Source organism: Homo sapiens, chromosome 8 (assembly GCF_000001405.40).
Source record: "Homo sapiens chromosome 8, GRCh38.p14 Primary Assembly".
Taxonomy (NCBI): domain Eukaryota; kingdom Metazoa; phylum Chordata; class Mammalia; order Primates; family Hominidae; genus Homo; species Homo sapiens.
Genome location: NC_000008.11, coordinates 109,305,903 through 109,320,664, shown reverse-complemented (window position 1 = coordinate 109,320,664; position 14,762 = coordinate 109,305,903). Strand labels below are relative to the sequence as shown.

At 38.0% G+C, this 14,762-nt stretch overlaps 1 protein-coding gene across 3 annotated transcripts in view, besides 1 other annotated feature; it reads left to right on the top strand.

The window, feature by feature from the left end:
• The window catches only part of NUDCD1 (NudC domain containing 1), a 93,169-nt gene that overhangs the window by 13,423 nt on the left and 64,984 nt on the right, over positions 1-14,762 (top strand). Inside the window, exon 2 of one of the 3 annotated variants that reach the window (XM_047422330.1) lies at positions 6,777-6,868. The exons of the other annotated variants lie outside the window; for them this stretch is intronic. Coding sequence (XP_047278286.1) covers positions 6,857-6,868 — 12 coding nt within the window. The 5' untranslated portion in view covers positions 6,777-6,856. The remainder of the gene's footprint in view (positions 1-6,776; positions 6,869-14,762) is intronic. 3 annotated transcript variants of the gene reach the window in all.
• Positions 141-788: an enhancer, noted in NCBI's record as "OCT4-NANOG hESC enhancer chr8:110332106-110332753 (GRCh37/hg19 assembly coordinates)". NCBI's record gives its function as "activates a minimal SCP1, AML or CMV promoter by ChIP-STARR-seq in primed H9 embryonic stem cells {active_cell/tissue: H9 hESC(primed)}" and the evidence as "EXISTENCE:reporter gene assay evidence [ECO:0000049][PMID:30033119]".

Genomic DNA, 14,762 nt, shown 5'->3' with positions numbered 1-14,762 from the left:
CTTGTGATTTCCTATGCTTGTCTTTTCTTTAATCTCTTAATCCTGTCAGCTGAGGAGGATGTCTATCGCCTCAGGACCCTGTAATAATTGCATTAACTGCACAAATTGTACAGCATGTGTGTTTGAGCAATATGAAATGTGGGCACCTTGAAAAAAGAACAGGATAACAGCAATTGTTCAGGGAGTAAGAGAGATAACCTTAAACTCTGACCGCAGGTGAGCTGGGCGGAACAGAGCCATATTTCTCTTCTTTCAAAAGCAAATGGGAGAAATATCGCTGAATTCTTTTTCTCAGCATGGAACATCCCTGAGAAAGAGAATGTGCACCTGGGGGTGGGTCTCTGAACTGGCCCCCCTGGGCATGGTCGTCTCTTATGGTCGAGACTGCAGAGGTGAAATAGATTCCAGTCTCCCATAGTGCTCCCAGGCTTATTAGGAAGAGGAAATTCCTGCCTAATAAATTTTGGTCAGACCGGTTGATCTCAAAACCCTGTCTCCTGATAAGATGTTATCAATGACAATGGTGCCTGAAACTTCATTAGCAATTTTAATTTCGCCCCAGTCCTGTGGTTTTGTGATCTCGCCCTGCCTCTACTTGCCTTGTGATATTCTATTACCTTGTAAACTACTTGATGTCTGTGACCCACACCTATTCGCACACTCCCTCCCCTTTTGAAAATCCCTAATAAAAACTTGCTGGTTTTTGCGGCTAGTGGGGCATCATGGAACCTACTGACATGTGATGTCTCCCCCGGATGCCCGGCTTTAAAATTTCTCTCTTTTGTACTCTGTCCCTTAATTTCTCAAGCTGGCCGATGCTTAGGGAAAATAGAAAAGAACCTAGGTGAATATTGGGGCAGGCTCCCTGATGAAATGATATATATTCTTAAAATAAACTTTTCATCTTTGCATATACGTTTATATGCCGAGTTTTCTCCAACCTTGTCTTACAGCACTTTGTATACTACATTCTAGCCATACTAAACTCTTGCAGTTCCTGAGACATGTGCTGTATCCTATTTCTTCTGGTCCTTTTCTCATTGATTAACTACCTGGAGCATACTTTTAATTCAGTGTCAGTCTGCTTTGCAATCTTTACTTAAGTCCTAGGTAACCATTTTGTCATCTAGCAAGCTTGCCTTGACATCTTACCTCTGTTCCCCTAGGAATATTCACACCATTGGCTCTCAAATCTACATGTGCTGTGAATTTCTTCTATTCTAGAGGTTGATACGCTTTTCTGCACAAGGCCAGCTAATTTAGGCTTTGTGGGCCAGATAGTCTCTTGTTGCTCGCTTTTGCTGTTGTAGTGTGAAATCAGCCATAGACAGTTTATAAGCAAGTGAGTGTGGCCGTGTTCCAATTAACCTTTATTTACAAAAACATAAAATGGGCCGAGCGCGGTGGCTCACGCCTGTAATCCCAGCACTTTGGGAGGCAGAGGCGGGCGGATCATGAGGTTAGGAGATCGAGACCATCCTGGCTGACACGATGAAACCCTGTCTCTACTAAAAATACAAAAAATTAGCCAGGCGTGGTGGCAGGTCCCTGTAGTCCCAGCTACTCAGGAGGCTGAGGCAGGAGAATGGCGTGAACCTGGGAGGCAGAGCTTGCAGTGAGCAGAGCTTGCAGTGAGCCAAGATCGCACCACTGCACTCCAGCCTGGGCCACAGAGCAAGAGTCCGTCTCAAAAAAAAAAAAAAAAACATAAAATGGGCAGGAATTGGCCTGTGGACTATAGTTTGCCACCCACTGGACGAGGCCATGGGTTCTAGCACCCAGCAGAAGGCTTGATCAGTATATTTGTTGAATGGATAATAGCTGTGTAAAGTTCATTATTACTGTTGGGAGTTGGCTTTGGAATAGGGTCTTCCTCCTGTTATTTCTAATCCAAGTGTAGGTATGAGTTCTGTATTGGCAATGCAGTGTTTATCTCAAAATGTTCAGAAAGGAGTTAGACATTTCCTGGTAATAAATATTTTCCTTCAGGTGACTCCTAAAACAGATAGTGTAAAATTCTGATTGTTTCTTGTTGGATCAGAGGAATGCAATCTGGCCTCTTACTCTTAGATATTAGTTGCTTTTTCTTGCTAGCCCCATGTTCTACTAAGGATTACTATCTAGGCCCAATGTGTATAAGCCAACTAAAGTGATAGGACATGCATTTTTATGAGTGGCTATGCTCTGATCTCTCTGATCAAATAAATTTTAATGATCAAATAGATTTTGATGTAGAGTTCTGTGTGTATGTGCATGAAAGTTTTTCCTTAATCCTTTTTGTGTTAACAAATAGGGCATTTGTTGATAGCATTTGCTGTACCATAAAGTTTGCCAATAACATTTATTCTACCAATTTTCTGACTCGAAGTCAGATGACATTATGGTAGATCTGAAAGTGTTAATTTTTGTAGTACCATCCATATTCATAATCTATTTTACTTTTCCATAGATATCTTGTGGCACATGTAATGTAGCTCTAATACGTGTTGTTAGGGAGGTAGGGTAGTTGGTCAAAAGGAAACTAGACATTTAAGACAGACTTACCAAATGAGTTCATTTTAACGTGTTTATTGAAAACCTGCTCTGTGTAGGACACTAATGTATAGGTTGGTGCAAAAATAAAAACTGTTTTACCATTATTTTTAACATGTTCAAGTACTTATACTTCTACATATAAGTTCAGGTAACTTATATGTTATACTTTTTAGGTGCTAATATGAGTGTACAGGTAACTATTACATGGTAATATGTAGCTGACAAAAAGGGTACAGCAGTCTCCATATATCCTTGGCTTCAGTTTCATAGAAAATAAGAATAATGATAAGGTTTTTTAGACGTTAAAGCAAGGTGTGTGAAAATGCTTTGAAAAGTGGAAGGCATTATGCAAATATAAAGAGATATTACTGGCATATGCCTTGGGGTATCACTTTATGGGAGACAAACACTGGCTAGTTTTTTTTGCACATATTCCTTCTTTGAGAGCAGTAGAACTGTATGATAAGAATAAATCATAATGTCAGGTAACTTTTATTGCATAGAGATTATTACATATCAGGAACAATTCTAAACACTTTACACGTACTAACTGTTTAATCCACAGAACAATGGATCCTGTGGATCCTTTCTCATAGGATAATATCCTGATATTATCCTGATATACCAGATACTATTATTATCCACATCTTACAGTTGAGGAAACTGAGGCATAGGATGTTTGTAAGAGTCTGGATTTAAACTCATTTATTCCAGAATGCCACAGTGCTCTACCAGTTCTCCTTATTTCTTGTTAATAGAGACGGATATTATGTGTTAATAGAGACAGAGTTTCACCATGTTGCCCAGGCTGGTTTTGAACCCCTAGGCTCCAGAGATCCGCCTGCCTCAGTCTCCCAAAGTGCTGGAGGATTACAGGCATGAGCAACTGCTCCTGGTCTCTATTATCATTTTCAGTGCCAGTTCTCTAATCACCTGTTCAGTTTTTTGTGCAGTAATGGGTTTATTCAAAGTGTGTTTCTAGGGTAATTTTGTAATATGTATTTTTATTAGAGGAAACCATCAGTTTCCTCTTAGGTTTCCAAATATGCTGCTATAAAGTTGCATGCGTTATGCTCTTAAGATTATTGTTGTCTTTTCTCTTTCCTTTCTATATTTTTCCTCTTTTTACCTAATCAAGCTTTAGGAAAGGTATTAGTTTATTTTTAAAGAACCATGTTTTAGGTTCTTAAAGCTTGTTTTCTGCTTAATTTTCTTTGGTTCTCAGACCATATTGTACCTTGGAATAATTGTGGAGTAATTGATCAAAACAAAAACTAATTTCAAGGTACCATTTCCCAAAATTCTGATTCATTATTGTCAGGGTTGGTCATGGACTGGGAACCTGCATTTTATCAAGCACCTCAGGTGGTTTTGCTTGTGGTCCAGGGATGACCAGGTATTAAGAAATTTTGTACCTGGGATACAGAAGAATACTACACTTATTTTTTATTATTTTTCTCATCAGCAACAAATGAAATCAACCTACTCTGAGTTTCTGTCAGGTGCAGGCAGGTAGAGAATGTTGACCACTAACTAGACTATTGGCTTATAGCAGAAAACAGCTCTTCCAATATCCATTTTATTGTTTAATAATTTTTTTTGTTTTCTTTTGTTTTCATCAAAGGCACACGTGCACAAATCCTAGACAGGCTCCTTTTCTGTGACTGATGTACAAATGACCACCTTTGTTAAACCTGAACTGTTGTAGTAAAAGTGAATGCTATGGGACCCAACACTTGAAAGCCATAGGTTGCTAGGTCTTCAGACTGTCTGGAGCCAACAGGTGGCAGCAGGTCTACATACTGGTTTATAAAGACAGAATACTCTCCTTACAAAAAAGTTTAACTTGTAGGTTTACAGTCCTTAATTTTAGGGAAATGTCCCTCGGAAAGAAGTGTGCTAAGGAAGTAGAAAATGCCTTGGGAAAGCAAAAATGTGTTTAAACTTTGGTTTTTTAATACATCCTTATTTTATATATTATGGCTTATTTTAAAGTAATGTGTTCCGTTTCTTAATATTTAGGAAATTATTTCTGTAATAATTTGTTTTGTATTTACCTGAAAAGCTAATTTGTTTCTGTTACTAAAAGAGTGTCATCTTATAGTGCCTCTTTAATTTGTACTTAAAGGTCTAAGGGGCAGTTACTGGATTTCATTTGTAAGAATATATGTGTGAGGTTGCATCTTGGAGTGACATGTTACAACTATTTGTTAGAGGAGCTCAGTTTTATGTCAGTATGTTCATCTCTAGGCCTGAATGTCAGCTTGTTTTCACAGTTGAGTTAATTATTAGGGGACCACTTACTTACCTGTGTAGAGACGAAGGCAAAGTGTCCCCTTTATTCTTAGAAGGTTTGCTGAAAATCTGTTGACAAACGGCAGATTAACATGAGAAAAAGGCATATAAATATATTTTAACATGTGTACATGGCAGAATCCAGGAAAATGACTACCCAGTAACCCAGTGGGGTACAGATGCTTATATACCCTTATTCATACCCTTCTTATGCTTGATCAGTAGGGGACATGGGGGACATGCGGGATAGCAAATGATCTTTAGGGGGAAATGAATGAATGGGCCTGATGCTCAGACAATGATTAGTTAATACTTTTCTTTGGAAATTGAATGGGATGGAGAGCAGACAATGGTTTGTGACTAAGTTCATCTGGGCTGTAGGTGGGGTGTTTAATTTTCAGCCTCTTCCTCTGTGATAGAAGTTTTAATCTTCTCTGGTTAATGAAATTTCAGGGAAAGCAATTGTGTTTCTCTTTGGCAGGTCCAGTTTATAGGTAGATGAAGGAACTTCAGAGAATAGCTTCATCCTGTGCTTGGGAGAAACAGGAAGGGAGGGGAGGCCAGAAAGACCTTGAGGCTGCTTCATGTTGAAGTGGCATTATTTCGGAGTAACATTTTTTGAGCTGCAATGCCTGATGAAAGAAAAAAATAAAGAGTGGGGTAAATACGTAGAACTGTGCGTTTAATACAAAAAAAAGGGAAAAGGAAAAAGGAACTTTTTATGTTCTTTCTTCCAAATAAAGTTAATGGTTATTAATGATGAAAATACTTTGTCCAGAAAAAGATCACTGCCTTTTAAAACGGCAAAGTTTTAAATATCATTGTCTCATAATACTAGTAAATAGTATCTAATAATACTAGTAAATGGTATCCCCACTTGCTTATTTTTTTAAACTTGAGTAGCCCTTTCTATAAATCTATATTTATTAGAAAACTACTTCGTTAGTTCAAAGATTCTCTACTTATAGCTGCAACTAAGAGGGTCCCAAAATGTGTTTAAAGATGTTTTTTATAAATATATATAGTTTATGTATTACTTGTTTACTGTTTATTTACAGTGTCATTTATATATAATATATGGGCATTATAATTTTTATATTACATCTATATTGACCCAGGCATCTGCATTAAAAATACTGTGTAGAGGCCTGAAGAAAAACTGAATATAGTAGTTACATTCAAGGTTGATTTGGGGGGTTGGGGATGGGTATACTAGAAATTGTATTGAGATCTGAAGTATTAATTTATTTAGAAAATCTTCAGAAGTGGTTTCTTCTCAAGCAAATGTGGAGTAGGGGAAAGAAAACCAACTTTTGGAGTAGGGTTTTATCAGGATTTGAGTCTTGGCCCTGTCATTTTCTAGCAGTGGAGCTCCAGGCAAATTATTTAATCTTTTTGAACCTCTCTTCTAAGTGTAGTTAATAATTTTAACTTCATAGAGTTTGGTGATAAATACATGACATGGCAAAAAGTCAAAGCACTTATTTAATAAAATTCTTATACATTATACTGATTCAGTAAGTATTCCGTTCATCAATGAAATTTTAATCCTTCTGCAGTCAGCTGTGTAATGTTGCCTTAGAATGATTTTCAGTGTTAGCCCTTGAACGTAGTTACATTAACTCTTTTTGTGAGGAAAAAGAAAATGATTATGTGAGAGCTGGACATTATAGATGTCAGTTAGCATATAAAGTGTTGTTATGAGGGCATGTAGTGAAATTGTCAATAGAGGTTATTCAGATATAAGTAAATGCTATATTTTGGGATTTAGAGAAAAAGATATTTTATTGCTTATAGTCCATTTAAAATTAAACTGTACTTTGAAAATTAGATCTAAACAATCAGAAACATTTAGTTTGCTTTCACTTTAACTGTCATTAATGCAAGTAAGAGAGCCACTATGTGTTTCCTTTTGTGTTTTAATTTAATTTTGTTTTCACATTTAGATACTCAAGTATCTTAATCATTCTATTGGATATTGTACCCATTTATCTGATTGATAATTAGACTTCTAGCAACCTCCGTCATGTATAACCAGGTATTTTAAAGAAAATGGCTTAAAATGCTCATAATTGTGTATAAAATGAAGAATAGTAATTTAACAAGTTTATCTCTACGTTCTTCCCAGTAATGGTTTATTAGATTAAATGCAGTGTGGGGCCATGTAGTAGACACAACTAGAAACCTTTACTTTGAAATAACTGTTTTGAGGAAAGCCTCCCATTGTATCTTACTAATACCTTTAAAATTACGTATATCACACACAAGTTGCTCAGTCTTAAAATAGTAATGTATTTGAAGCAAAAGGGGAAAATTTTCTCATACTCCTGATCTCCCCGACCACTACACTTCAGTCTTATTTTCCTAATAGTAAACATTCTTAACAGGTCAGCATGTGTCTATCTATACTTTGTGCTGTCGTATCATGATATTTGTTTTGGCATATATGGATTCATATTGTATGTATTCTGCATCTTTTTTTAAAAAATCAGTATTTTATGTCAGTATTATTAATCCGCCTTAGTATATTTAACAATTATTTGGTATTCTATAGGGTGGATGCTCCATAGTTAACCATTTGCCTGCCAATGCTCTCCAGACAAAGATACCAGGCACGCATCTGTGGTTGAATGAGTTGGATTTGTTACTTTTGCAGTAAGGGAGAACACATACCATGGGAACCACAGAGTGTTCAGTAAAAGGAACAGGATGCTGTTAGAAGGTTTGGCTTCTGTTGGGTGATTTTGGAGGAAGGGTTAAAGAAAGTGAGGCTTTATTCTAGATTGAATACTGTCAGGAAATTGGTTGTTTATGTAATGGGTATCTTAATAAGTCTTACCTAGAAGGAGGGAAGACTAGACTGAGGCTCACACTATAATTAGTAAGGAGCTGCAGCTGCTTATATTGGCCTGGTCATATTTGTAGCCTTGACAGTGTTGATGTTTTATCTGTGTTCAGATATTACTGTGAAGTGCTGCTTTTTTGTCCTGCTCCATCACGGTCATGCAGAGGCCTTATCTGATGTGTATGTTTTGTGAAACTATTCCTGTTCAACAGAACACCTGTTAGTGCCAGGCTAGCTAGTAACAAAACAAAGGCCTGGCTGATACTGCTAGGCCTTCTCCGTAATGTCAGGGTCTGCTTTCATCTTTACCTACTTTATTGATAAACAACTAGGTTGTTTTTCCTAGTTTTTATTGGCACAGTTTTTCCTTTTCGTTATTAAAATAAACATACTTGTTACGTGGATCTTCGTGTACATATGCAGGTATTCTTATTGAATAAATTCCTGTAAGTGGAATCATGTCAAACAGTATATAAAACATAAAACTTAATAAAACCATAGCAGCACCTCATAGCTTTAAATTATCTCCAAAAAGCCTATAGTTATTTTTATTCCCACCAACATGGCACTTTAGCCAAGAATTGTCATTACTAGTGTAAGATTGTTTTCTCTGGCCAATGAGATAATCATATTCTATTAATCCATTATTTTATACCAGTGATTTGGGGCTTTTTTTTTTTTTTTTTTTTTTGACAGTGTCTCGCTCTGTTGCCCGGGCTGGAGTGCAGTGGTGCGATTTCAGCTCACTGCAAACTCTGCCTCCGTGTTCAAGCAATTCTCCTGCCTCAGCCTCCTGAGTAGCTGGGATTACAGGTGCCTGCCACCACACCTGTCTAATTTTTGTATTTTTAGTAGAGATAGGGTTTCACCATGTTGGCCAGGCTGGTCTTGAACTCCTGCCTCAGGTGATTCGCCTGCCTTGGCCCCACAAAGTGCTGAGATTATAGGCATGAGCCACCGCGCCCAGCCGACTTTTTTTAAACTATAGTTGTCCCGTTCAAATATTTTCCCCATTTAACATTTTTTAATTTTTTATTTTTAATTTTTTTATTTCCCTAGGTTATTGGGGAACAACAGATGGTGTTTGGTTACAGGAGTAAGTTCTTTAACGGTGATTTGTGAGATTTTGGTAAAGCCATCACCCGAGCAGTATACACTATACCCTATTTGTAGTCCTATTTGTAGTTGAATTTTATCCCTCACCGCTTCCCACTCTTTCCCCCGAGTCCTCAAAGTCCATTGTGTCATTCTTATGCTTTTGCATCCTCATAGCTTAGCTCCCACTTACAAGTGAGAACATACAATGTTTGGTTTCCATTCCTGAGTTACTTCACTTAGAATAATAGTCTCCAATCTCATCCAGGTCACTGTGAATGCCTTTAATTCATTCCTTTTTATGGCTGAGCAGTATCCCATCATATATATATATACACCACAGTTTCTTTATCCACTCATTGATTGATGGGCATTTGGGTTGGTTCCACTTTTTGCAGTTGTGAATTGTGCTGCTATAAACGTGTGTGGAAGTATCTTTTTTGTATAATGACTTCTTTTCCTCTGGGTAGATACCCAGTAGTGGGATTGCTGGATCAAATGGAGGTTCTACTTTTAGTTCTTTAAGGAATCTTCATACTGTTTTCCGTAGTGGTTGTACTAGTTTACATTCCTGCTAGCAGCACAGAAGTGTTCCCTGTTCACAGCATCCACGCCAACATCTACTATTTTTTGATGTTTAGATTATGGCCATTCTGGCAGGACTAAGTTGGGGGTATCGCATTGTAGTTTTGATTTGCATTTCCCTGATCATTAGTGATGTTGAGTTTTTCATATGCTTTTTGGCCATTTGTACATCTTCTTTTAAGAATTGTCTATTCATGGCCAGGTGTGGTGGCTTATGCCTGTAATCCCAGCACTTTGGGAGGCTGAGGCAGGCGGATCACAAGGTCAGGAGATTGAGACCGTCCTGGCCAACATGGTGAAACCCCATCTCTACTAAAACACAAAAAATTAGCCGGGCGTGGTGGCGTGCGCCTGTAGTCCCAGCTACTCGGGAGGCTGAGGCAGGGGAATCACTTGAACCTGGGAGACGGAGGTTTCAGTGAGCCGAGATCGCACCACTGCACTCCAGCCTGGCAGCAGAACAAGACTCCTTCTCAAAAAAAAAAAAAAAAAAAAAAAAGAATTGTCTATTCACGTCCTTAGCCCACTTTTTGATGGGATTGTTTTTTTTCCTTGCTGTTGTAGATTCTGGATATTAGTCCTTTGTCAGATGTATAGATTGTGAAGATTTTCTCCCACTCTATAGGTTGTCTCTTTATTCTGCTGACTGTTCCTTTTGCTGTGCAAAAACTCTTTAGTTTAATTAAGTCCCAGCTGTTTATCTTTGTTTTTAATCTCATTTGTTTTTGGGTTCTTGGTCATGAAATCCTGGCCTTAGCCAATGTCTAGAAGGGTTTTTCCAATGTTATCTTCTAGAATTTTTAGTTTCAGGTCTTAGATTTAAGTCCTTAATCCATCTTGAGTTGAATTTTGTATAAGGTGAGAAATGAAGATCCTGTTTCATTCTCCTACATGTGGCTGGCCAATTATCCCAGCACCATTTGTTGAAAAGGGTATCCTTTCCCCACTTTATGTTTTTGTTTGCTTTGTCGAAGATTAGTTGGCTGTAAGTATTTGGGTTTGTTTATGGATTCTCTTTTTTTTTCCATTGGTCTGTGTGCCTATTTTTATACCAGTAACCATGCTGTTTTGGTGACTATGGTCTTATAGTATAGTTTGAAATCAGGAAATGTGATGCCTCCATATTTGTTCTTTTAACTTAGTCTTGCTTTGGTTATGCGGGCTGTTTTTTGGTTACATGTGAATTTTTTTTTCTAATTCTGTGAAGAATGGTGGTGGTATTTTGATGGGTATTGCATTGAATTTGTAGATTGTTTTTGGCAGTATGGTCATTTTCACAATATTGATTCTACCCATCCATGAGTGTGGGATGTGTTTACATTTGTGTAATCTGTGATTTCTGTCAGCAATGTTGTGTAGTTTTCCTTGTATAGGTCTTTCACCTCCTTGGTTTAGGTATATTCCTAAGTGGTTTTTTTTGTTTGTTTGTTTTGTTTTTTTTTTGGCAGCTATTGTAAAAGGGGTTGAGTTCTTGATCTGGTTCTCAGTTTGGTGGCTGTTGGTATGTAGAAGAGCTACTGATTTATGTATATTAAGTTTGTATCTGGAAACTTCTGCTGAATTCTTTTATCAGTTCTAGGAGCTTTCTGGAGGAGTCTTTAGGGTTTTCTAGGTAAATAGTTATATCATCAGTAAACAGCAACGGTTTGACTTTCTCTTTACTGATTTGGATGCCCTTTATTTCTTTCTCTTTGATTGCTCTGGCCGGGACTTCCAGTACTATTTGAAGAGGAGTAGTAAGAGTGGGCATGCTTGTCTTGTTCCAGTTTTCAGAGGGAATGCTTTCAACTTTGCCCCATTCAGTATTATGTTGGCTGTGGGTTTGTCATAGATAGCTTTTATTACATTGAGGTATGTCCGTTGTATGCCAATTTTGCTGAGAGTTTTAATCATAGAGGGATGCTGGATTTTGTTGAATGCTTTATCTGCATCTATTGAGATGATCATGTGATTTTTGTTTTTAATTCTGTTTATGTGGTGTATCACATTTATTGACTTGTGTATATTAAACCATCCCTGCATCTGTGGTATGAAACCCACTTGATCATGGTGGATTATCTTTTTGATATGTTGTTGGATTCAGTTAGCTAGTATTTTGTTAAGGATTATAGCATCTAGGTTCATCAAGGATATCTCTCTGTAGTTTTCTTTTTTGGTTATGTCCTTTCCTGGTTGTGGTAATAGGGTGATACTGGCTTCATAGAATGATTTAGGGAGGCTTCCCTCTTTCTCTGTCTTGTGGAATAGTGTCAATAGGATTGGTACCAATTCTTCTTTGAACATCTGGTAGAATTCTGCTGTGAATCTGTCTGGTCCCGGACTTTTTTTTTTTTTTTTTGAGATGGACTCTTGCTCTGTCACCCAGGCTGGAGTGCAGTGGCACGATCTCGGCTCACTGCAAGCTCTGCCTCCTGGGTTCATGCCATTCTCCTGCCTCAGTCTCCCGAGTAGCTAGGACTACATTTGCCTGCCACCATGCCTGGCTAATTTTTTTATATTTTTAGTAGAGACTGGGTTTCATTGTGTTAGCCAGGATGGTCTCGATCTCCTGACCTCGTGATTCACCCACCTTGGCATCCCAAAGTGCTGGGATTACAGGCGTGAGCCACCGCACCCAGTCTGGTCCTGGACTTTTTTTTTATTGGTAATTTTTAAATTGTAATGTCTCCCATTTTGTTTCTTACTGAGCTTATTTGGATTTTCTCTCTTCATTTCTTGATTAATCTTGCTAATGGTCTATGCATTTTATTTGTCTTTTCAAGGAACCAACTTTTTGTTTCCTTTATCTTTTGTATTTTTTTGTTTGTTTCAATTTCATTTAGTTCTGTTCTGATCTTGGTTATTTTCTTTCTTCTGCTGGTTTTGGGTTTGGTTTGTTCTTGTTTTTCTAGTTCCTTGAGGTGTGACCTTAGATTGTCTGTTTGTGCTCTTTCAGACTTTCCGATGTAGGTGTTTAGGGCTATGAACTTTCCACTTAGTACTGCCTTTGCTGTGTCCCAGAGGTTTTGATAGGTTGTGTCACTATTGTCTGCAGTTCGAAGAATTTTTTAATTTCCATCTTGATTTCATTTTTTGACCCAATGATCATTCAGGAGCAGTTAATTAATTTCCATGTATTTACGTGGTTTTGAATAGAATGTATATTCTGTGGTTGTTGGATTAAATGTTCTGTATATATCTGTTAAGTCCATTTGTTCCAGGGTATAGTTTAAATCCATTGTTTCTTTGTAGACCTTCTGTCTTGATGACCTGTGTAGGGCTGTTAGTGGAGCATTGAAGTCCCCCACTATTATTGTGTTGCTGTCTATCTCATTTCATAGATCTATTAGTAATTGTTTTATAAATTTTGGAGCTCCAGTGTTAGGTGCATATATGTTTAGGATTGTGGTATTTTCCTATTGGACAAGGCCTTTTATCATTGTATAATGTCCCTCTTTGCCTTTTTTAACTGCTGTTGCTTTAAAGTTTGTTTTATCTGATATAAGAATAGCTACTTCTGCTCGTTTTTGGTGCCATTTGCATGAAATGTCTCTTTCTACCCTTTTACCTTAAGTTTATGTGAATCGTGAGTCTCTTGAAGGCAGCAAATGGGTTGATGAATTCTTATCCATTCTGCAATTCTGTATCTTTTAAGTGGAGCATTTAGACCATTTACATTCAATGTTAGTATTGAGATGTAAGGTACCATTCTAGTCATCATGCTCTTTGTTGCCCGTATATATGTTTTTTTAATTGTATTTTTGTTTCATAGGTCCTGTGTGATTTATGCTTTAAACAGGTTCTGTTTTGATGTGTTTCTAGAATTTGTTTCAAGATGTAGAGCTCCTTTTAGCAGTTCTGTAGTGGTGGCTGTCACACACGTCCGTGTAAAGAGACCACCAAACAGGCTTTGTGTGAGCCACAAGGCTGTTTATTTCACCTGGGTGCAGGCGGACTGAGTCCAAAAAAGGAGTCAGCAAAGGGTGGTGGGATTATCATTAGTTCTTACAGGTTTGGGATAGGCATACAAAGTACATTCTTAAGGGCATAGAGAATATTACAAAGTACCTTCTTAAGGGCGGGGATGGGAAGAATATTACAAAGTGCCATCTTAAGGGCAGGGGAGAATATATCCTATCAGTTAGGGTAGGGCAGGAACAAATCACATTGGTGGAATGTCATCAGTTAAGGCTATTTTCACTTCTTTTGTGGATCTTCAGTTGTTTCAGGCCATCTGGATGTATACATGCAGGTCACAGGGGATATGATGGCTTAACTTGGGCTCAGAGCCCTGACATTCCTGTCTTCTTATATTAATAAGAAAAACAAAACAAAATAGTGGTGAAGCGTTGGGGTGGTGAAAATTTTTGGGGGGTGGTATGGAGAGATAATGGGCGATGTTTCTCAGGGCTGCTTCGAGAGGGATTAGGGGCAGCATGGGAACATAGAGTGGGAGAGATTAAACTGAGGAAAGATTTTGTTGGGGTAAGGGGTGATATTGTGGGGTTGTTAGAAGGAGCATTTGTCGTATAGAATGATTGGTGATGGCCTGAATGTGGTTTTGTAGGAATTGAGAAACTAAATGAAAGACACAAGCTCTGAATAAAAGAAAGAGGAAAACACGTATTAAAGGACTAAGAATTGGGAGGACCCAGGACATCCAATTAGAGTGTCCAGTGGGGTCCGGGGGTGGGGGGGGTTCAACATAATTATTTGCTTGGTTGGCGAGTTTTTGGACTCTATCCTTGAGTTTTTTTTTTATGTTGTCATATACCACGCAAGATTGATTTAGGTAAAAACAACACTCTTCTTTTAAAAATATACAGATTCCCACTTTTTTTTTAGCAGTGAGTAAATAGAGGCCTTGGCGATTTTGGAGGAAAGAGAAATGCAAAGTGAACAATTGTTTCTTAAAGAAGGATTAGAAACGGCTAGGAGAGAGTGAGTGAGATTGATAGTGTGGCAGAGATAGCTGGGGAGAGGTAGAGGGTGGCATAAGAACAGGAACAAGAATAAGAGTGAGTATAAAAGTAAAGAATAGGACTTCATCAGGGTGAAAGTATTGGAGTGTAACCTGTCAGCAAAGAGCATCTATCCACTCCAAGAGGGAGTCAAGAGTGGTGGATTGGGGCTAGTACCAGAGGATATCCACTACGATAGTTTGGAAGAAAAGTGTAAACTGGCAATGTAAACAAGGGCAGGGCATTTATGAGTAGTTGAGAGTGGTGAGTAGGAGTAAGACTAGACAGGAAATAGTAGGGATGACAAGTTTTCGGGGTGCAGTCCAAGTAGTGAGAGTGACTGCATAAAGCCCTGTTGCAAAAAGCAGGGTAAGGACAAATAGACCTAATAGAATGAAGGGATGTATTGGGCTTATAAGGGTTATTACTGTTCTTCAGAAATGCGAGTGAGTTTAAGGGAAGTAGGG